This window comes from Homo sapiens, chromosome 3, assembly GCF_000001405.40.
Source record: "Homo sapiens chromosome 3, GRCh38.p14 Primary Assembly".
Classification (NCBI taxonomy): Eukaryota; Metazoa; Chordata; class Mammalia; order Primates; family Hominidae; genus Homo; species Homo sapiens.
The window spans coordinates 112,311,368-112,335,106 of NC_000003.12; the positions used below are offsets into that span (position 1 = coordinate 112,311,368).

Below are 23,739 nucleotides of genomic sequence, written 5' to 3' on the forward strand. Positions count from 1 at the left end.
TCTTGCATTTTCTTTTTATTGCTTCTTAAAGTTTCCATCTCTCTGCTTATATTATCCTTGTCCATTGTCTATTTTTTCTACCCAAGTCCTTAATATATTAATCATAGTTATTTTAAATTTCCTGCTGGATAATTCTAAAGTTTGTGTTTTATCTGAATATAGTTTAATGTTTGCTTTGTCTCTTCAGACTGCCTTTGTTCTTGTCTTTTTTTTTTTTTTTTTTTTTTTTTTTGAGACGGAGTCTCACTCTGTTGCCCAGGCTGGAGTGCAATGGTGCAATCTTGGCTCTCTGCAACCTCTGCCTCCCAGGTTCAAGTAATTCTCTTGCCGCAGCCTCCTGAGTAGCTGGGATTACAGGTGTGCACCACCACACCTGGCTAATTTTTTTTGTATTTTTAGTAGAGATGGAGTTTCACCATGTTAGACAGACTGGTCCTGAACTCCTGACCTCGTGATCTGCCTGCCTCGGCCTCCCAAAGTGCTGGGATTACAGATGTGAATCACTGCTCCTGAACCATTCTTGTCTTTTAACATGCCTTGCAATTTTTTGTCAAAGGCCAGACATGATACATGAGGTAATAGAAATTGAGGTAAATAGGCTTTTAGTGTGGGTTTTATGCAAATGTGGCTAAAAGTTGGGTTGCATTATTGTTTACTATAGCAGCAGGTGTCAAGGGCTTCACATATCTATAGTTTCCTTGTTTTTTTCTTCCCCATTTTCTTTGAATATCTCTAAGAACTGCTTATTAATTAGAGTCTGAGACTTGCAAGTATTTCAGCTATAATCCAATGCTATTATACTAGAGCTCTATTGATGGTGGTAAGGAATTGTGGAGAGAAAGCATTCTAAAATCTTATGATTAATTCTCACTCTTTTAGTGGGCCTGTGTACCTTGGCTATAGGCTATTGAGGTGGGAAATTAAAGAAAAATAAAATTAAAAAGAAAGAGAAAAAAGTTTTTCTGTATTAGGCTGATTTGTCCCAGGGGCAGCAACAGGCACAGCCCAGACCCAGGAAGAGTCTTGATAATATTATCTAATGTGCTCTGGAGACTCTCCCAGCACTCTCTCAACATAAGGAGAAGAAAAACAAATTTTCCTTTGTTTTATGGAATGAGTTCACAGATTCCTGTTCTCTGTAACTAGTGACTTCAAGTAATCTGTTTTATCTAAGCAGTAGAGTGAAGGTCATGAGCGTCTGAGCAGATCTCAGTTACAGTCACCTGGGCGCCATAGTGAAGGTTATAGGATACGCCTGTGCCTAGGCAAACCCAGATAATGGACATCTGGGTTGCATAGCAATGGTTATGTGTAATCCTGAGTTATGAACCTGTTACAATTTGATTAACCATCTTTGTCCTGCCTCTGTATCCCTGCTTTCATGCCACTGTAAGCTTACTTCAAGCTAGCCCACCTTCTTTTGTGAAGTGTGTATAAAAGTCAAGTGCTGTCTTCGTTCTGGGCCCAGTCTTTTGGACGTTGAGTCAGCTGGGCCTGAGTGCACTCAATAAAAGATTCTCCTGTTTCAACTCTAGGTCTCTCTCTCATTCTCCTGAATCCCACAACACTTATGACCTTCATACATTTTCTTACTTATTTTTCTCTCGCTTACCACTTTAGATGAGACAGGAAAGCAAGAAATGACTGGAGTTAGGTCATTTTCCTTCCATCTACATAAGATAAGGTTCTGGTTATATATATCTTTTTTTTTCTTTTTTTCCTAGAAAGTAGGTTTTTTTTTTTTTAATGAAAAATGCACTGGGCTTATTTAAAAATGGTTACATTTCCTCTTCTGTTTTTAAACATATGAAGTGATTTTTCTTGGCTCTTTACTATGAAAAGCTGATAAGGTTCCTGGAGGTGAAACCTATGGAATTGTGGGGTCTCTCTAAGACTGCAGCTCTGAAGAGTTTATCACTCTCAAGCTGATTCACATGAAGCCTCTGGCAGTCCATCAAAATTATCATTGATATGTCCCTACCATTTTATAACACCAGTGACTTTCATTCCGAGTAAGCTGATCTCAGTGCCTTTCTATTCACGTCTCTGCTGATTTCAGGGTTGTAGTTTTCCCTGTGCCTTTAATTCTCTGAAGAGTCTAATAAAGACCATTGATTTTCAGTTTGTTCAGCTTTTTTCTTGTGTTAGGATGAGATGATGAATTCCAAGCTCTTTGTATGTTAAAACTGAAACTGGACATCTTATCTATTTTGGAATATTGACCTTGAATCCAGGTTCTTGCTGAATTGACTTGTTAATTGTAATAATTTCTCTGTAAATTTTTCTAATTCTTTAAGTACAAAATCATGTCACCTGGAAATAAAGACTGATTTAATGCATTCCCATCTTTATTCATTTTATTTCTTTCTCATGGCTTATTGTCCAAGCTAGGATCTCCAGTCAACCATTGGAGAGAAGGACTGAGAGTGGTGGGAATTTTTGTCTTGTTACTGAGCTCAAAGGAAAAGCATTAACAGTTTCACCATTAAGTGTAATGTTAGCTGAAGGTTTGTTGTAGTTATCTTTCATTATATAAAGGAAATTCTCTTATATTCCTAGCTAGCTATTATTCATTCATAAATAGGTATAGAAACATATTAAATGCTTTTTTCTGAATCTATTAATCACATTATTTTTCTCACTTTTTCTGTTAATATGGCTGTGTTAGTCCATTCTCACACTGCTATAAAGAAATACCAGAGCCTAGGTAATTTATAAAGGAAAGAGGTTTAATTGACTCACGGTTCCACATGGCTGGGGAGGCTTCAGGAAACTTATGATCATGGTGAGAGGCAAAGAGGAAAGGAGGACCTTCTTCAGATGGTGGCAGGAGAGAGAAGTGACTGAGCAAGAGAGAAGCTATCAAACACTTATACAACCATCAGATCTTGTGAGAACTCGCTCACTATCATGAGAACAGCATGGGAGGAACTGCCCTAATGATCCAATCACTTCCCACCAGTTCTCTCCCTCAGCACCTGGGGATTACAATTCAAGATGAGATTTGGGTGGGGACACAAAGCCTAACCATGTCAATGGTGATTTAAATTGATTGATTTGTGAATATTAAATCATCCTTGCATTACTGGAGAGAAGGAAACCTTAGTGATAATTACTGTGTATCCTTTTATAACGTATTGGTTAATTTGATTATCCAATATTTATTTTAGGATCAAAGCCCAGGAAAGATACTGGTCTGCAATTCTTTTTTCTTGAAATATTTTTATTAAGCTTTATTATTAAGCTTATACTGTGTAAGTAAAAAAAGTAATTAAGGCAGATCTTGATTGATTTTGAGATTCATTTTGCCACGGTTGAGGATGTGCCCGGGAAAAACAAACACAAGTCACAGTAGGATCTGTGCCCTGTGCTTTTTTTCAGAGAGGATTTTGGGAATGTCAATGTTTAAAGAGGAAAGAGGAAGCAGAAGGGGAAGAAAAAAACAGGAAGGAGGGTAGTAATTAGCACTCAGTGAGTCTGTTTTACATGTGAAGAGGAGGGAGTGGGACAAAGTCAATTATGCATTCATTTCATGCTCAGTAAATCTACATTCTACATAACATAAGCATGTGAAATTACAGTAATCTATTTGGGAAAAAAAAGGAAGGTAGTCTCTTGTTTCACTTAGTTCCCAAACTCAACTTTCCCTTTAGCATAGTGAGTTCAGGATCCTGAGATTTTATTTTCTTCCACATTTTCCCCAATTGTTCAAAATCTTTTGGAGAAAGCATTGTAGAAGAATATTAGTCTCTGGTTATGGGTTTTTTGTGATCCCTTGTTGCTAGATAGCTTATTCCTATGAGGTTAGGTTCCACGTTACTAGGAAGGCTCATTTCTAGGAGGTTGTCAAGTTTTCTGTCCCAAGGAGCGAAAAAGGGGAAGGAAGAAAGAATGAAAGGGAAAAAAGAGAAAAAGGGGGCTACCAAGACCAGATTACAGAAACAAAGGGAAAGCAATCTTGGAAAACAGATTCAGGCTATATTACAAGAAGTCTGTACATCAGTAGTCAGGCATGAAATTGCTGTTATTTCTTCCAAAGTTCAAGTTGTCTAGCTTCAGTTTGCAGGGTTTTAAGAAAAGCATGGTTTTAATTTCTAGTGATTCCAAGTTAGAAAAATGGGAGAAAAATAATTTTAAAACATTAGTTTGGAGACTTGTAGTCAGGACAGAATTCAAGATGTAGTCCAGATAAATTATAGATAAATAATAAAAACTGAAAAACAATAGACAAGGCTAGAATCTAACAACAGTTGTACTACAGTTTATTTTGAAATGTAATTTTTTATATTTTCCTATTTTTACCGAAGATAAATCATAGTCAAAACATTTATTTGCAAAATAAGTTGTAATATAAGACTGTTATTATAGTGGTTGTATGGCCTGATTATTTGCATAAAGTACAGCAAGAATAATTATTGGTTGATAGGCTCATTTTGAATTGGCTTTACTGGAGCTTTCTTATAAAGAATGACAGATTTTACTTTTAAGAGGCCTCTAGAGCCTAGAAGAGGATTTATCTGTGCCTGCATATACCTCCATGAATTGGGTGAAGTCTATTCTTCTCAAAGTCCCAAAATAACTTGAGGTTCCTGGGCCTGTCAGAACATGACATTCTTTTCTTACCACAAGTCAAGAGATGTAAAAAAAATTGCATAGACAAGGTATGAGACTAGTCCTTCCAAGAGTCTTTTATCACCTTATAAAGTCAATTTGAATTCCTCGAAGTCATCTGTTTATATCTGAAAATATGCCAGTTCAGTCAAAGCCTTGGAAACATAACCAATGTCTCCAATTGTGTCCTGTTACAAAAGAAAACATGTTTTTATTGAAATCATGCAAATAACTATATTGCCATAAATTAAGAATACTCTCAAATGGTTTCCACATTCTGGAGAAATCAGGTAGAGTGAAAGAAATATGATTCAAATTTTGATCACAAGAGTATAATTTACTCAGTTGTTAAAAAGCTATAAATAGCTCAGCTACTCAGGAGGCTGAGGCCGGAGAATTGCTTGAACCTGGGAGGTGGAGGTTGCAGTGAACTGAGATCACACCATTGCACTCTATCCTGGGCAACAAGAGCAAAACTCCATCTCAAAAAAATAAAAAATAAAATAAAATAAAAGCTATAAATAGCTCAAAATAAAAAAATCTTGATTCTGACCAAAAAACTCAGAATCTCCAATGTGTCAAACACAAAAAGTCATAAAAATCATTTTAGTCCCCTATTCATTCAGTCCAATGCAATTACTCATTCTGTTTGATACTGGGGTTAGTAATCCTCCTGAACACATTAGTTCTTCAATGAAAGTCCTGAAATTATTTTTTCTCTAGTTTCATGTCACAATCAGAAGGATTATCAGAAACCTGCATTTAAGAGCTTGTCAGAGTTCTTCCTGTGAACTCCTTAAAGAAGGAAGTTTTGGGCTATTGCTGGTTATAAACCACTTTTTGAGAGGAATCAAAGTAAAATGTTAATTGTCTGTGGATGACAAAAGCCCAAACAGCCATGGTCAAAGATACAAATGACAAGAAAATTTGGTTATTTCCGTAACATGCAGCAATTTAATGTAATAACCATATGTATTGTAGATAACATATACAAAGACATATAAAAATTCTAGAAACCTCATATAATTTTGAAATACATATTACTAACACATTTATATAAATAAGACTCAAAGAAAGTTAAGCACCATTACATATTTGATAATGCTTCCTGTATGATTTTAACATCTTGAATTAACTGAATATGTCTCTTTTGGACTTCAGAGGACCTAGCACCAAAAAAAGTTAATGAGATTAAAAAAACTGAGTTTGGGACTTGAAATTTTGATTTTGAAAAATTTTTCGAGTATTAAAGGTTTAAAACACTTGATATCACAAAATACTATCCCAGTTAATCCCAAATAACTTGTTAACTTAGATAAAATGAGAATTTAAAGATTTTGAAAGCACAAAGCACAAAAACCTTTACTCTTTGATAGAGACTCAGTTTCGCAAACAACAAGACAGCATGAGCTCAATCGAATCTGTCTCTCCTCTTTCTTCTCTCTTTTTGCAGTTTACTCAAAAGGTAAAAAAAAAAGAACTTTTGCTATCTCTTACTATTAAATGAAAATCTTGTTCAAAGGAGAAAGCCATATTTTACCTTTGCAAAGTGTAAATGTTATTATTGCAAAAGATAATTTTAAATAAAATCTTATAAACAAATCCATCCAAACTTACCTCATGAGGTAATATTTTTATAAGCCTTTTATAATTCTTTTGTATTTTCTTTTTTTCAACTTTCTTTATCCATTGTTTTATCTTTTTTTTTTTTTTTTTCGAGACTGGGTCTCACTCTTTCACCCAGGCCGGAGTGCAGTGGTGTGATCTCAGCTCACGGCAAGCTCCGCCTCCCGGGTTCAAGTCATTATCCTGCCTCAGCCTCCCGAGTAGCGGGGACTACAGGCGCCCGCCACTGCACCCAGCTAATTTTTTGTATTTTTAGTAGAGACGGGGTTTCACTGTGTTAGCCAGGATGGTCTCGATCTCCCGACCTCATGATCCGCCTGCCTCGGCCTCCCAAAGTGCTGGGATTATAGGCGTGAGCCACCGCGCCAGGCCTTATCTATTATTTTTAAACACTCCATTTAATATAGTTTTTACAAACCTCTAAAATAGACAAAATTACTTTTTTCTTTTTTAAAAAAGTACATTTCCATGTCTTTTTATAACTCTTTTAATAAAAACACGTTCTCTTTTTCTTATATACTTTGTGTATAGAATTGTTTCTCTTATATCTAATAGTTTTAATTACAGCCATTAATTACAATGTTAACTCTTAGTAACACTTATTTTTATTTTTGATGAAAAACCTAGTAAGTAACCAATTTTAGTTATGTACTAGATGCAGAGTCCAAGACAATGAACAATGTCTGAGGCTGGGCCTTGAAATGACCCTACAGGCTTAAATCTAAAGACACGTTCATAGGCAAGTTAAGCAAGTATCAAAAGTATTAGACAAGCAAAGTTTTATATCTAGCAGAGACAGTATCTGACCTTCCTTATTCAGACCAAATGTCTAAATTAAATTTTGAAGACACATGTTTTATTATACCAATAATTTAAAAACTGTCTTTATTTACTAAAGATTATTAAAGTCACGTAAACCAAAATGCATATGAGTTAAAGTTTTTATTTTCCTGATAAAATATTTGATTTAAGCACTTACTTTCTCTAAGCCAGTTATAGAACTCTTTTATCTATTTTGGTAGTGAAACATCATGTACATATAGCATAAATACACAGACATACAGATACACAGATTTTAAAAAGTTGACTATTTGAATCACATAGCCAGCTGTGAAAGAAAAATAAAAATAAAAATTGCTGGTATGTGTTTTTCCCCCTTTGAAGAATATTACAATATTGATAATTTTTCTCCCTTCAAGTATTTGGAAGTATTCACCAGTGAAGATACAAGAGCCTTGGTATTTCATCTGGATGATTTTTAATAATGGATTCAATATCATTAATAGATATCTCACTTCTCTGTTTTTTAATTTTTTCTTCTGTCTATTTTGATAAGTTACATTTTATGCCAATTTTCAAAGTAATTTTCATGTAATTGGTAAAAATATTGTTTTTCTTAATGTCTGTAGGATTTGTGGTAGGGTTTCCCTATTTATCACAATATTGGTAAATTGTATTTTCTTTCTTTTTTCTTTTGGTTAAGCTCACCTGGGGTGTATAAATTTTACTAGTAAATACCCACTGGAATGTTGTTATTTTATCTTTTATTTTATTGAGTTTTGCTCTTGTCTTTTTTATGTTCTTTCTTCTACTTTCTGTAGTTTGGATTTCCTGCTGATTTACTAGTATCTTGACATGGAAGCTCTGATCATCAATTTTCTGCCTTTTTCTTCTAATGTGTGGATCCAAGGCAACACATTTTCCTTTGTTCACTTCTTCAGCTATATATCACAAGTTTTGATATGTCATATCTTCATTGTAATTCTGTTCAAAATATTTTCTAATTGGTTTATCACTCTTTTTAAAGCATGAACCTCTAGAGCTTTCAATTGTGAGACTAATGCATATTTGTCTCCTTAGCCCTAACAGACTACGAGAATTTTTTCTGAGCTGTTGAGAGATTGAACTTAGCTCTTTGGTTTTTTTTCTCTGCACGAAATCAGAATTCGGTAAATGTTTTGAGGGGGAAGGTGACTCTATGTGTGAGTTTCTTCAAGTCTTCAGTTTTGTTACTGTAGCCCAAGAAATCACCAAATGCTCTTTTGATTTCTTTGTTGCTCAGCAGCAGAGTTCTACTTAAGGTCAAAGCTGGATTCTTACATGTATCAACAAGTATCCTCAGAAAAAAGGTGTTGGCAGCTTTTCACTGCATGAATTCAACACTATTTTTTAGAGCTTTTAATCTCTAGTGCTCCTTCCTAGAGATTTTTATCTTCTAAGAATCTTAGGTCTGGAAGAGTTCCACTCTGACTTCCTGAGGTTTTGATTTACCTTTTAACTTCCCACCATGTGCAGATTTGCAGTTCAGCAAGATGTTAAGGGAGAAATTGGCATGTGTCTGAAGCTCTACAAAGTCTTCCATTTGTCACTCCACTCACTCTAGGGCTGCAAAATTCCAGGAAACTCCAAAGGTTTATCTGTTTCCCGATTCTCAACTTCCAACCCACAGAGTACTGACAAAAGTAACCCCAGGTTGTTACCGCTGACTCTCAGCTCACCTCTGTAAGACTCCCTCCTCTCTGTATTTTACTCCCTCTAATTCTTCTTGGCTTTTCAGTTGCCCAATGCCTTGAAGTAAATTCTTGTGTAATTAATTCAGTTTATACAGTTATTCTCAATAGAAATATTAACCTCCTGCAAACTACTCCATCTTATCTAGAAAGAAAGCTTTGAAAATATAATTCTAATTTTTATTTAATTATTTTTGCATATTTTGAGACCTCAAAAACACACACATGGAGGCATACACATACATATATACATGTCACTTAATAGATTTTCCAAAGCCCTTCTTTCTTATCGCAGGAAAATTAAAAATTTCACTTTAACTTCCTATTAGAGAATAACCTAATCAGATGCCCTTTTCTGCTACCATGTGGTGTCAGGGAAAATTATTGGTAATTTTTTCTCAACCAGCAAAGAAATTGTGGCCTTCTGCCAATCTTAACAAACTGTAGCAGAGGACTGAGGAAATCAATACCTTTGAAGATCTTAGGAGAATTATTTGCTCTTATCATTAAATTATTGTGCCCACAATCACCACACCCTTAGTTTAGATCAGTTAGTAGCATTCTTACTATGAGTGAAATTCATGAAGGACTTTCATACTGGAGAGCTGAGAAATGAGAGAAAAAGAAAAAGAGCCAGGAAAGAAAGAAAGAAGAAGGATGAGGACTCTAAGAGAACAGGGGATTCCCAGTCTTCAAATTAACACCAAGTTACAGGAATAATTATAGTGTCATAGTGTCTCCTCATTATGTTGCCATACATTTAAAGTGTTGGGGGTTTATGTAAGGTTGAATGAGAGTTACGACATCAACTGTTCTTCTCAAATTGGAGGGCCTGTCAGTGGGTACAGGAAATGGTACTGTGAAGTTTTGTAAAATGTGGGGAGAAATATCTGAGAGGGATATGTTTCCTATACTTTGGTTCCATATAAAAATTTGGGGAAGACCAGTCTTAGGGATCATATAAATCTAGCATGACATACTTTTTGTTTCTCCCTTTTTTTTTTTTTTTTTTTTTTTTGCCTCAGCTGTATCTGAATTAAGAACTGAACTCTAGCTGAATCTGGACTTTGAAGATTTTCTTAGCCTTAATTATTCAGCTATAAGAAAACCTACTCCTCGACTATCTGTTTTCCCCTCACAAGTATTAATTAACTCACCAGAGGAATATTTTGCTCAGAATCCAAATGGCACAATAACTGTCACTGAAATATGCACCATCTCTATGGAGACTGTGAGGTCTCTGGTGCTCCAATGCCTGATTTTGTACTTGAATCATCTTCTAATGAATAATGAGAAGATTGTCCCTCTTTTAGTAATACAAGAATGTAAGTGGAAGTGATACATCAATAACGAAAAATATTTATTTTTCTTCAAAATCCATTACCAGAAGTGTTTGTATAAGTCACGTATTTTTTTAAATGTAAATCAATGTATTATATATGCATGGTTAAATGAATCAAATAATGAAGACATCTCTACCCTAGTCCTGCTTCCTGAGGCAACTGTTCTTATATGGCAAATGTTAAATTGATCTACGGTCTCCACTGGATTTTTGCCACAATTACTGAAGATTGAGCTCTTTTTACACCTCCCTCAACTTTTTCTCCACCATTTTCCTCCCAATATAGTTTTTTTTTTTTCCCTGCTTACCTCTACAACTTTGAACAGCCTTGCCAAATCTGTTTTTTGTTTGTTTGTTTGTTTCATCCACCATACAATTTAGGGAGAAGGAAAGCAAAAAGTTAGGTAGACGGCTAAGGCTAGTCCTTGGAGAAACAGCTGAAAAATCACAGCTACAGGCACAAGTAGAGCAGCCTGGGGAAAACTCAGGCTGCAGCTGCACAGATAAGGAGGCAAGGTCCAGCATGGAAGCCTTTTGTTCTTTTTGTGATTGGTGGGATCTCAGGAAAAAGTTACCTCCCCTTTTCAGACATGTACACGGTGGGCTCCACGGGCGCTTTCACAGGGAGGGGAGGGGGACTTACCTAAAACAAATCCGCAGTTACACAAACAAGAGAAGCTGTGCTTTGAGCTTACCTGGAGACATATCTGTAGCTGCATAGATAAGGGAAATTACACAGACAGCTGTACAGATAAGAGAATTTGCTCAAGCAGCTACAGAGTTAAGAGGAGTTTCTTATAAAAGCTTCTGAATTCAACTGTAAAACAGCACCCCACTGGGGCTCCCCTCTCTGCTGCAGAGAGCTTTCTTCTTTCACTTATTAAATTTTTGCTTCAACCTCACCCTTTGTGTATCCATGCTCCTTAATTCTCTTGGTCGCAAGACAACAAGCTTGGATAACACCTCAAACAACAAGACCATTGACCATTGACCCAGTTTCAGAATGTCTCTCTTAGCTGCCCATTCCTGTTTGCTCTCCTTCCTTCCAAGCTCTGTCACCTGTATTTATCTTCTGTTTTGTAACAATAATTTAATTATAACAATAGTTAAACAGGGTATAATTTCCTCACAGGATATTTCTAACAGTAGAAGCCAATAAGCAGTATTTAAATAATTGTTTTTATATTATAGCAAATAATCTTTTGAAATTAAAGTATTTATTCTCCATATAGTCACTGTAAATACTGATATTTTGGGGTTTTAATCTACCACGTTACTATTCATTTTCTATTATCTCTCACCTGTTTAATGTTCTTTTCTCTCTTTCCTTGATTTTGAGTTATTTTTAAAAATTTTATTTCCCCATTTTTTAATTTATTAACTAATTTTTAAGTAAGATTTCTTTACTCTTCCTTTAGTGGTTGACTTGGGCATTATGAGCTATATGCTTGTTAAAATTATTTATTTATTTATTTATTTTAATTAACAAATATAATTGTACCTTTTTATGGGGTATACACAGTGAAGTTTTTTGATACATAAAAGGTATAGCGATCTGATCAGGATAATTAGCATATCCATCTTCTCAAACATTTATCATTTCTTCGTGATGGAAATATTCAATATCCCCTCTTTTAGCTATTTGAAACTATGTAATATATTGATGTTAAACATAGTCATCTTACAGTGCTATAGAACACTAGAACTTATTCCTCCTACCTAGCTAAAATGTCATAACCTTTAAGGAATCTCTCTCTATTCTCCCTTCCTACAACCCTTCCTGTCCTCTAGAATCCTCCTTTCTTTACTTCTGTGAGATAAACTTTTAAAGCTTTTGCGTATGAGTGAGAACATGTGGTATTTAACTTTCTGTTCCTGGCTATTTCCCTTAGCATAATGTCCTCTAGGCTCATCCATGTTGCCATAAATGACAAGATTTCATTCTTTATTATGTCTGGATAGTATTTCCATTGTGCATATATACCACATTTTCTTCATTCATCTGTTGTTGGACACTGTGGTTGATTCCTTATCTTGGCTATTGTAAATAGTGCTGCAATTAATATGAAAGTCACCAGCCACAGTGTCTCACACCTGTAATCCTAGCACTTCGGGAGGCTGAAGTGGACTGATCGCTTGAGACCAGGAGTTCAAGACCAGCCCGGGCAACAGAGCAAGACCCTGCCTCAATAACAAATAAAAAAGTTAGCCAGACATGGTGGTGAGCGCCTACAGTCCCAGATACTCAGGAAACTGAGGTGGGAGGATTGTTTGAGCCTGGGAGGTTGAGGCTGCAGTCAGCCATGATCATGCCACTGCACTCCAGCCTGGACAACAAAGCGAGACCCTATCTGAAAACAAAACAAAACAAAACAAAACAAAACAGCCAATATGAGAGTGCAGAAGATATCCATTCAATATACAGATTTCCTTTCCTTTGGATAAATATGAGCATAAATCACAAGGATCCATTGACAAGCCAAACAACTTTCACCATTCTCTAGGGTTAAAGAATAATGCATTCTCCCCTTCCTACTTCAACAGAAGATCTAAGACAAGCTTTGGAGCAAATACTCTTAATTCCTTTATCCTGTAGCCTAGAGTTTTGGTGACTATCTTGCCATGAACTATACAACTTTAATATATTAATGAATTACTGGGAACCACAAAGAAGGCATCCCAAATACCTGTACGAAAAAAAAAGGTTTTCTGGCTTGTCAGAGAGCTTTAAATCAATAGTAGTCTCATCTCTGCTCTTTCTACATACCATATACTTTTAATTTGAGCCTTATAGTCCAAGACATTTTAGGTTCTATACCATGATCTTCTGCATTTTCAAATTAATGGGCTACATCTCAGGCTTCAGTAAGTTAAGGAAAACATGCACCTGTTCCACTGAAATGTTTCCTCTTTTGCCATGGCTGTATCCTTTTTAAAACAAATTCTTACAAATTTTGTAAGAAGACAAAATGAGTTACACAGTATCCTACTCCTCTCCCTTTTCCTAATTACTCTGGTGATTTCCTCTGAAAAATGTAGGCATGATGAGTCTAGGATCTTTGTGTCTGTCCCACTTTAGATGCCAAGCTTCATAAACAAAGCTGTAACAAATTTCAGTATTAACTATGGACTAACAGACTGATGAATATCAGTATATCACTTGGGCAAATGAAACAAGATTTATTTATCTGCAGGACATGTAAGGAAGTTCACAATCAGAATATACAGGAAAATGATCAGAAATATTCTTTTTTTTTTTTTTTTTTTTTTTTTTTTTTTTTTTTGAGATGGAGTTTCACTCTTGTTGCCCAGGCTGGAGTACAGTGGGGCAATCTCGGCTCAGTGCAACCTCTGCCTCCCAGGTTCAAGTGATTCTCCTGCCTCAGCCTCCCGAGTAGCTGGGATTAGAGGTGCATGCCACCACAATTGGCTAATTTTTTGTATTTTTAGTAGAGACAGATTTTCACCATGTTGGCCAGGCTGGTCTTGAACTCCTGACCTCAGGTGATCTACTCGCCTAGGCCTTCCCCAGCTCATGAGATTGGAATATGCCAGTTGAATAGCTTATGTATCTTCCATCAATCTACTAGCTAGATATCAGTTAATTTTACTTCTTACTGAAATACAAATGTCAGTAAAGAAGTTATCAACTAAGAAAATGATTCTTCCTTGCTTAGTTTTGTAACAAATATTAGCAATATAAATCCCAAATTCTGTTGAAATTCTTATATAAGGCTTTCTTTCTATGCATTGTTGTTGTTGACTTTAAGGATGTGTTCATATTTTACCACCAAACTCTTCACATTCATCCCCCTCCACCTATTTAGAATGACTATGTAGTATTTTCTTGAGAAAGACTATTGGTAAAATCTAGAAACTGAGACAAAACGATGTCTGAGCACTCAAAAATAAATGGCACACCGGATCACATGCACTCTCTAAATAACATTTCAGAGAAGAACTACTAAAAAAGATTTCTCTTTTCCTTCAATGGTAATGAAAATTCAAAGCAGCAAATTTAAAAAGAGTGAGAGGTTACTGTAAGCAGGAAAATTACAGCAGTCTGGCAATTAGGAAGAGGACACAAAAAAAGCCTACTGTGAGAAGACCTAAATATGCAAAATGCAAAATATTTCATGTTAACGTTAGCAAAAACTTACTTAAGGGCCAACATAAAGTGTATATGTTCATTTTTATATCATATCTAAGAAGAATCATTGACAATTATAGTGATGGCTTTTTGTTAATTTTAAATTGCGATAAAAAAATGTACATTTTATTCAGAGGGCTAAACGAACACATGTCAGTAACACAATTTAGTTACACTTTGGTCAAAGTAGCTATTTTTTAAAGTGTTGATGCCTGAAAAATTGTTTTTCTTGAGTGTAGGCACTCAAGTGAAAATTAAACTTGTTTCTCACTTTTTCCACTTAATCATGGTATATCTTTGAGTGATTTTCTTAACATCACTGAGACTGCGTTTTCTCATCTGTACCTAATAACTGCACTTACCCAGATAATGTGAATAAATGGTCCCTATAAAATGCTTATCGCATTACTCAGTACATTCATCTTGAATATTTATTATTATTATTATACATTTATTTTCTGAGTTTATTCCAGACTCTGGAAATTCCATTTTAGTAATATAGTCAGCAAGTGACATTATATTTTATTATTAAGCTTATTTATATATATAATTATAAATTTATATATAATTCTTAATAAAATTATTTATTAATTTATTATTTATTACATTATATTATATTTTGCTTAACCATTTTTCTGTGATAAATATTTAGGTGATTACCTATTTTTTCTTATTCTTGAGAATGTTAAGATTATATTAGATGTTATATATCTTTGAAGAACATGTAGGAGTTTGAATATTTGTTAGTTTTTTTAATAAAGTAAAATATGGCAAATCTCATTATAGTATTAATTTTAATGTCAAAGAGGCAAGGCATCTCAAAAGAGCATTACAGATTAAAGGTATCAAGAGGGCAATACAGTGTATAGAAAAGAAGTATAGTCACAAAGAACGTTTCTGATTTGTGTTTTTCAGGTACATCTAGTTCTTCTATTTGTCTACCTATAGGTGCACTCATAACATTTTAATTTATTTCATGTGTTGTCATCGTTATCCTCTGTATTACTCTGAGAAAGAAGATGTTACCTGTTTGTGAAAAAGAGGGTGAGTGAAACAGGGTTAGTTTCAATCATTAAAAAAAGAAATTCCAAGGGCTGTGGCAAAATCCGTCATGAAAAGAGTTGTTATGAAAAAACTCTTCCACATGCTTGGTAATTCCCGCAGTGAAGGGTATATCTTTTTTAAAGTGATAGTTTACTCTGGAATATTACAAAGGTAGGCTGTTAGTTATCATTAATACTTATGGTAAATTGAGTTTAAGAGTCTTTACTGAGGACAGGTTTTTGCACGAGAGAATATGGACCACAGACAACTGGTGGGAGGAAGCTCATTGAGAGGTAAAAAAAGGTAGAGACTGGAAGGAGATTTTTCAAAGAGACTATTGCAGTAGTTAAGATGAGAGTTGATGGTGGCCTGGACTAGAGTAGCAGCAAAGGGGACTGAGGGATTAAGGACAAGTTTAGGATAGCAAGATTTGCTGAAGGAACAGCTGTGGTAAAAGAGCAAAATATAAGAATTGTCCCGATGATTGTTTGCTTTTTGGTGTTAGATGAAGAAAACTTTTACAAATACGGGAAAGATCAGAGAAAGAATAAACTATGGAAAGAGAATCCAGAGTTCAATTTTGAACATGTTAATTTTGAAACGCCTATTTTACATCCAAAGGAATAGGTTAATTATCTCTATATATGAATCTGAAATATATGGAACATATAAGGACCAGTGGTTTAAATTTTAGAGTATAATGAATAGACTCTCCAAGGGGACAAATCATAGGTTATGACTCTCACTATTATAGAGTGGAAATAATCTGCAAGTTCTGTAATTGGAGTATTTTTATGCCCAACTAAGCATTTGAAAATATACTTTGGTCAATCTCAAGAGAATTTGAGTCTGAATCTCCCAATTTTTTACTCGTAGCATACTCTTACAATGTACTGCCATGAGGGGGAGTGTTTGGGCTGTATTCCTCTTATGGATACATTAATGTCGCTGTATCTCTAGGTCACAGAGTATGTGTGAACCAATACTTCATTTGAGACAGCCTCACATGGAGAATGCAATGAGCCATTCTCTTCTCACATACAGGTAAATTGGAAGGTTTGTGAATTTGTTACTGTTATTTTGTACACTTCAAATTTAAGATTTAACCTTCCAAATTAAATCATGCATTTGGTAGCAACAATTATTTTAGAAATAAATGAAAACAATGATTTGGTTAAATATATAATCAAATTTCATGAATTATTGGTTTCTAATGAGGTTATATTAATATTAATGTCTTTGAATATTTCTATTTATTCCCTGATTCAGATCCCCTCCCATCATCACCAATTGAATGACTGCTTTGATTTGCATTTTTTCAGATTATTAATAAGTATGAGCATGTATTCATATATTTGTTAGCCATTCAAGTTTCCCCTTCTGTAAAGTTCTTGTCTACATCTTCAAGTAATGTCTGGTTGGCTGTTTATATTTGCAAATTTTTTTTTTTTTTTTTGAGACGGAGTCTTGCTCTGTCACCCAGAGCTGGAGTGCAATGCTGCGATCTCAGCTCACTGCAACCTCCACTTCTGGGGCTCAAGTGATTCTCCTGCCTCAGCCTCCCAGGTAGCTGGGATTACAGGTGCCCACCACCATGCCCAGCTAATTTTTTGTATTTTCTTTTTTTTTGAGACGGAGTTTCACTCTTGTTGCCCAGGCTGGAGTGCAATGGTGAGATCTCGGCTCACTGCAACCTCCGCCTCCTGGGTTCAAGTGATTCTCCTGCCTCAGCCTCCCAAGTCACTAGGATTGCAGGTGTCCACCACCACGCCCAGCTAATTTTTGTTATTTTTTAGTAGAGAAGGGGTTTCATCATATTTTGAGGCTGGTCTTGAACTCCTGACCTCAGGTGATCCACCTGCTTTGGCCTCCCAAAGTGCTGGGATTACAGGCGTGAGCCACAGCGCCCCTTTTTGTATTTTTAGTAGAGACAGGGTTTCACCATGTTGGCTAAGCTGGTTTCGAACTCCTGACCTCAAATGATCCTCCTGCCTCGGCCTCCCAAAGTGCTGGAATTACAGGGGTGAGCCACCGCACCCAGCCAGAAATTTTTTATATCTTAGATCCTTTACATACTAGATATAGATTACTTCTCCCTGTTTGGCATCACTCTATTACATTTTTCAGTTATACTGTTAGGGGAACAGAAGTATTTAATGGAAAACCAAAAGTCCACTTTTTGTGGATAAAAAGTAGATGGATTTAACAATGTTAAGTCAAACTATAAGTTGTTAATAAGTTTGAGTTTGGGGCATTGATGTCTTTATAGTGGAATTTCCTTCAGCCATAAATATATTATCCATTTATTCAAGTCTTTCTAAATGTCTTTTAGGAAGGCTTTACAATTTTCTCAATGTAGGTGTAATTTTTGCTAGGTTAATTCTTTGGTACTTTTAATTTATTCACTATAATTAATGATATTTTAAAAAATTTCTAGCTGGTTATTATTAGTGGTTTAGGAACATTTTTGGATTTTTTAAGTTAACCAATATTTGGAAACTGTGCTAAACTCTGTATTTAAGTTTTTCTGTTGATTTTGATTGTTTTTCATGAAGTTGATTCTCTCTCTTACAACTAATGACAGTTTTGCTTCTTTCTTTCCAATCGACACCTCTTTTTATATTTAATACCTGCAATAACAGTTATCTTTTTCTTGTTTCCGATTTAAAAGACCATGTCTAAAATTTCCTTACAGTTGAATATGACATTTACTGCAGTTTGATCACTAAGCATAAGGTTAGGAAATATTTTCTTATTCTTATCTCCTTTGCTTTTATGATAAATATGTTGTTGAACTTAAGAAAAAATTTATTGGTACTTGTTGAGATAATCATGAATTTTTCATAGCAATTTACTAATATAATAAATTATACTGACAGTTTTCTAATGTTAAGCCATTTTGGAAATTGTTCTGCTTTATATTTATAAGTAAAAGAGGACTATAATTTTATTTTCTTGGATTATCCTTTCCTGGCTTTAAAATTAAAATAACACTAGCCTCAAAGAAAGATCTTAGTAATTTTATAATTCTCCCTTTTGAACATGAATAAGATAGATCTATTCCTCAACAATCCTCTAGGTCTGTTATTTATTTATTTATTTTGCAAAACAAGTCTTTGATTTTGATTTACTTGCTTACTAATTTATTGGCCTATTTAATTTTTAAATTTTTATGGCCAATTTGCCACTTTCAGAAATTTATTCATTTTGTGTAAGTTTTCATATTACTGTTCACAATATTGTTTTGTTATTTTTGCTATTTGTTGCATCAGTATTAATTCTCCCTTTTCATTCTATATTGTTACTCTGTATTACAGTAATAATTTTCTGAGTATTACAGAAATAATTTTCTGAGTATTACATGCCACCCGTTTGATCAATTAATCTCTAAAAAAATTATATTTATTCTATTTGTGTTCGTTTTTATTGATTTCTGCCTTTAGTTTTATTATTTTTTTTCTTCTCATTTTGTTGAGTTCCTTGTTTGCTTCTTTTGCTCAATATTGACATCTGATATAGTTAAGGTGATATATTAATTCTGAATGCTCCTTTAAATCTGTCCAATAATTTTAAATGTCATTTTTTTCTTTTTCCTGCAGACCTTTCTTTAAAAAAAATTATGTAAGCAAATTTCTTCTTTTTCAAAGGGTTTTTAATACAATGTTTATGCTTCATTATGGCTGGGAGTTTTTCCCCTTTTGTTCACTCTTCTGTGTCCCAAGTCTCTTTTAACCTAAAAATGTTGTTTTTAAGCTATTTTTTTTTTTGAAATAGTGTTTCACTGCATCACCCAGGCTAGAGTGCAGTGTCTCCATCATGGCTCACTTCAGCCTCAACCTCCCGAGCTTAAGCAATCCTCCCATCTCAGCCTCCTGATTAGCTGGGACTACAGACATGTGCCACCATGTTCAGGTAATTTATTTTTATTTTTTGGTAGAGACAGGGGTCTCACTATGTTGCCCAGTATGATCTTGAACTCCTGGCCTCAATCATTATGAAACTGGTTGCTTAACTATATAATTTGAATCTGGATTTTAAAATAATAAATGTAAGATTTTATTTTTAAAAAATTAGAAAATAAGATTATGAGAGGTGAGGAGAATTATGCTAAGGTATACGTGTTGGGAAATTTAAGAAATTGACTTAAAAAAATAAATATATGCATTGTCCTTAGTAAGTTAGGAGAAAACAGCAGAATAATAAAATATAACTCTTAATGTAGCAAGATAATATTTAGCTTAATGAAAGATAAGACAGAAGAAAATATACTAAAATAAAATATAAAAAAATTAAAAGTCCTATTATATCAGTAATTACAACATACAAATAGGTTAAGGCCGGGTGCAGTGGCTCACAACTGTAATCCCAGTAGTTTGGGAGGCCAAGGTGGGAGAATTTTTTTTCCAAGTGTGCAGTTAATATTTCTCTAATAGAGGAAGGTTAAAAATAAAGTGATAGGAAAATATATGGGAAAAATAAATGTAATAGAATGATGTACATATGCTTGTGAAAAGACAGGTATAAGAATGTTTATAGCACCACTATGAAAAATGCTTCCAATTTGAAAAACAAAGAAATGTTAATTAATAGAAGAATAGATAAATAAATTGTAATAGACAGTATTTACAGAATAGGATACTATACATCAGTGAGAATGAATAAGCCACACTACAGGCAATAACATGGATGGATTTTTAAAATCTACTGTTGAGTAAAAAACCCAGAAACAAGTGAAGACATATGCTACGATGCCATTCATATAAAATTCAAAATCAGGTGAGCCTAGTCTATGGTGTTAGAAGTAGGAGAATAGGGGCCGGGCGCGGTGGCTCACGCCTGTAATTCCCACAACTTTGGGAGGCTGAGACGGGCGAATCATGAAGTCAGGAGATCGAGACCATCCTGGCTAAACGGTGAAACCCCGTCTCTACTAAAAATACAAAAAAAATTAGCCGGGCGTGGTGGCGGGCGCCTGTAGTCCCAGCTACTTCGGAGGCTGAGGCAGGAGAATGGCGTGAACCCAGGAGGCAGAGCTTGCAGTGAGCCGAGATCGCGCCACTGCACTCCAGCCTGGACGACAGAGCGAGACTCCGCCCCCGTCTCCCACCGCCCCCCCCCCAAAAAAAGAAGTGGGAGAATAGGTCAGGTGCAGTGGTTCATGCCTGTAATCCCACTGCTTTGGGAGGCAAAGGTAGAAGGAGCATTTGAGGCTAGGAATTTCAGGCCAGCCTGGGCAACACAAGACCCCGTGTCTGGAAAAAAAAAAAAAGCTGGACATAGTGGCTGCACAACTATCATTCTAGCTACTCTAGAGGCTGAGGTGAGAGGATCCCTTGAGCCCAGGAGTGAGTTATGATCGCACCACTGCATTCCAGCTTGGACAACAGAGCGAGACTTTGTCTGTAAAAAGAAGCAAAAACAAAACCCCAAAGCTTTGTCCCAGCTCCTTATGAGAGGGTGGTAGTAGTAAAACACAAAAGCCTTCAGGAGGTGAACACTTGATGATTTCTTTGTCCTTTTTTTTTTTTTTTTAAGAGCCAAGAACTCTGGAACAAGAAGAAGAAGACGAAGGAGGAGGAGGAGGGGGAGGGGGAGGAGGAGAAGGAGAAGGAGGAGAAGGAGAAGGAGAAGGAGACGGAGAAGGAGGAAGAGGAGGAGGAGGGCCGGGCGCAGTGGCTCACGCCTGTAATCCCAGCATTTTGGGAGGCCGAGGCGGGCGGATCACGAGGTCAAGAGACCGAGACCATCCTGGCTAACATGGTGAAACCCCGTCTCTACTAAAAATACAAAAAATTAGCCGGGCATGGTGGCGGGCGTCTGTAGTCCCAGCTACTCGGGAGGCTGAGGCAGGAGAATGGCGGGAACCCGGGAGGCGGAGCTTGTAGTGAGCCAAGATAGCGCCACTGCACTCCAGCCTGGACCACAGAGCGAGACTCCGTCTCAAGAAGAAGAAGAAGGAGAAGAAGGAGAAGGAGAAGGGAAAAAAGAATCCTCATCATTAATGCAAGTGGAAGGAAACTCTTCACCAAAGAATTGATCACATCATGAAAGGTGAAATCATTACGGAATTGCTTAAATATATAATTTGAATCTGGATTTAAAAATAATAAATGTAAGTTTTTTCTTTAAAAAAAAAAAAAAGTCCATTGGTTAAATTCAGCTTGAATCCTTTGCCACTACATCAAGAGCTAACAGGTCAACAACTGATCTCCACAACCTCCCACCTCATTTCCTTTCTCAGTCCAGGTAGCAGGAAAATGGAAAAAAAAAAATGATTTTTTTTTTCCAAACACTTTGTCAGTTTCCCCAGCGGTCACCTTTGAAAAGGGAAAAATGTCTGAAAATAGACAAAGCTGAATATAAACATCATTTAATTCCCCCCACACAGACAGCCTCCGCTCCTGTGAGGGCGTGGGGAAAACGGAGTGGGAGAAGGGGGCTAGCGAGGAGGAAGAGGCGGGAGGTGCGGCAGGGGCACAGGTGACGCTCCTCCCGCCTGCCTAGCAGAGCTCCAGGCGCACATCCGCAGTCAGCCACCTCGCGCGCGCCTCCAGGAGCAAGGATGGAGAGGCTGGTGAGCGGGGCCGGGGCTTGGGAAGGAGGGCGCAGGGCAGGCGATGTTGAGCCGGTGGCCCTGGGGCGGGCGGCGAGTGGAAGGCGCGGAGCTTCGGCTCTTGCCACAATCTGGTCCGGGGACTAGATCAGCGGTGTTGATGGCAGCGCTTTTCTCTAAGCGCTTTCTCTTGCTGAGAAACGGATTTTGCCTTCCAAAGGGTGGTTTACAGGCAGCTGCTGGCGTCCAGATTCTCCATTCCAATTGCCTGAAAAAAAGATGCACCAGGCCGGGGCTCCGGGGGCTCTTGATCCGCGCTGACGAAGCTGGCGCATCCTCCGGGCAGGCTCGGCTCGGCTCACTGGCTCCAGCTCCCAAAACTGGGGAGGCACAGCCTATTTTAAACTGCCCCCAAAAGGGAAAGAGAAATGCTGTATTGGTTCCATATTGGCACCAAAAGCTGCGGCGGAGATACAGATTTCCAGGCTCGCTTTCTCCGGGAGAGCTCCTGCGTCTCCTCTTTGTTATGCAGCCCCTTTCTCCCTCCTAGCCCTTGCCTGGGGGAAGCCATGAAGGATCAGTTAAAGCTGAAGCTACACTTGAGAGAGCTGAAATGCTCTGTGATCATAATGCTTTGAAGGGTTAACCCCGGGTATCTAGAGAAACAGACATTTTGTTTATTCGGAACCAGCTTACAAGACAAAAAACGGAGAAGGTTTTCATATATCCCATTGGTATATGAAATCCAAATACAATGGTATTGGTATAAGAATCCAAATACAGTGAATGCCTCAAGATAATTTTTTCATGTATGGTTTGTTGGCAAGACCACATAGCCAATGATTTCACTGTCTTTCTTAACAAAGGAGAATGGTGGTCTGTGAGCTACGGTCTACTGCAAGCTAGATGCTGTTAATCTTCTTTGTAACTATCCTTCTAAAAATGAATTATTACCTCGTTTTACACATAAACAGGCGGAAAGGCTGATATTTCCAAGTCCTTGTGACTACATGTGGGGTAATGTGGATTTGGACATAGAAACTTGCTGAGGAAGAGGCATGAATAGGGGCAATATAGCTACCAGGTGGGCAGCTGTCTGGTAAGACCCAGGTTTTTGTGAACCCTGGACTGCATGGCAAGGGTTATAAGTGGGCTTCTTTGTTTTCAGGACTGTAGTTCCCCCTATATGATTTGATCGATTAATTTTTTTAGCTACCTAACACGTATTGGCATTTACTATAACCTAGGCTCTATACTAAGTGCTTTAATTGCCTAATTCTCATAATAACTATGTGAGATAAGAGCAACATTTATTTAGTGCTTATTTCTACTGGCAGTATTCTAGGAGCTTTATATACTACTTCATTTAGTCTTTTTAACCATTAGATTGGTACTATTACTTTTCCGGAGTCTCAGAGAGGTAAAATGATTTCTTTTGCTCACAAATCTAGTATTTGTTTTAGCCCCGGTCACCTCCCTGTAAACATATAAATACTGTTGTTTTCAGATTGGTCGTATTTTCAGTTATTCTGCACAGACTCGAGGAAAAAAAAAACCTGTAAAATAAAAATACGTATCTATTTAAGAGTAAGGCTTTCCTTCTGATTTCCTTTGCCTCAATCACTGTGTTTTGTTTCTTAACATTGCTGGCTCCCAGTCCACAATATATGGTTTGGTATGTATCTGCTTTCTCTCTTGTCCTAAAACACAGATTTTCTCTATGAGAGCTTGTCCATTCTGCATTCTTCATCATGGCCTCTGGTAGAGCCTGGATTTCCACGTCAGAGAAGCCTAATGGTTTAAAAAATATCACATAGAATTGGAATGCCAGTATCTGTCTCCACAATTGCCTTAGCTGAAAATAAAACAAAATGTGTTGGGTGGGCACTGGCAATGGAGCCTG

At 36.5% G+C, this 23,739-nt stretch overlaps 1 protein-coding gene and 1 long non-coding RNA gene across 12 annotated transcripts in view, besides 2 other annotated features; both read left to right on the forward strand.

Annotated features, from left to right (window-relative positions):
- Positions 1 to 21,387, forward strand: part of LOC105374042 (uncharacterized) — a 30,277-nt gene extending 8,890 nt beyond the window's left edge. The window contains exons 2-5 of the long non-coding RNA NR_147411.1: positions 15,155 to 15,283; positions 16,244 to 16,327; positions 17,979 to 18,019; positions 20,819 to 21,387. This is a non-coding gene — a long non-coding RNA (uncharacterized LOC105374042). The remainder of the gene's footprint in view (positions 1 to 15,154; positions 15,284 to 16,243; positions 16,328 to 17,978; positions 18,020 to 20,818) is intronic.
- Positions 21,206 to 23,739, forward strand: part of CD200 (CD200 molecule) — a 30,240-nt gene continuing 27,706 nt past the window's right edge. For 8 of the 11 annotated variants that reach the window (NR_158642.1, NM_001365852.1, NM_001004196.4 and 5 more), the window contains exon 1: positions 21,789 to 21,857. Coding sequence is in view for 3 of the 11 variants with exons in the window: in NM_001004196.4 (NP_001004196.2) it covers positions 21,846 to 21,857 (12 nt within the window). In the remaining 8 variants the exon portion in view is untranslated. Of the gene's footprint in view, positions 21,335 to 21,788; positions 21,858 to 23,739 lie in introns of those variants that run through there. The other 3 variants (NM_001365854.1, NM_001365853.1, NM_001365855.1) reach the window with 1 other exon arrangement.
- Positions 21,456 to 22,413: an enhancer, noted in NCBI's record as "OCT4-NANOG-H3K27ac hESC enhancer chr3:112051670-112052627 (GRCh37/hg19 assembly coordinates)". NCBI's record gives its function as "activates a minimal SCP1, AML or CMV promoter by ChIP-STARR-seq in naive H9 embryonic stem cells {active_cell/tissue: H9 hESC(naive)}" and the evidence as "EXISTENCE:reporter gene assay evidence [ECO:0000049][PMID:30033119]".
- Positions 22,414 to 23,370: an enhancer, noted in NCBI's record as "OCT4-NANOG-H3K27ac hESC enhancer chr3:112052628-112053584 (GRCh37/hg19 assembly coordinates)". NCBI's record gives its function as "activates a minimal SCP1, AML or CMV promoter by ChIP-STARR-seq in naive H9 embryonic stem cells {active_cell/tissue: H9 hESC(naive)}" and the evidence as "EXISTENCE:reporter gene assay evidence [ECO:0000049][PMID:30033119]".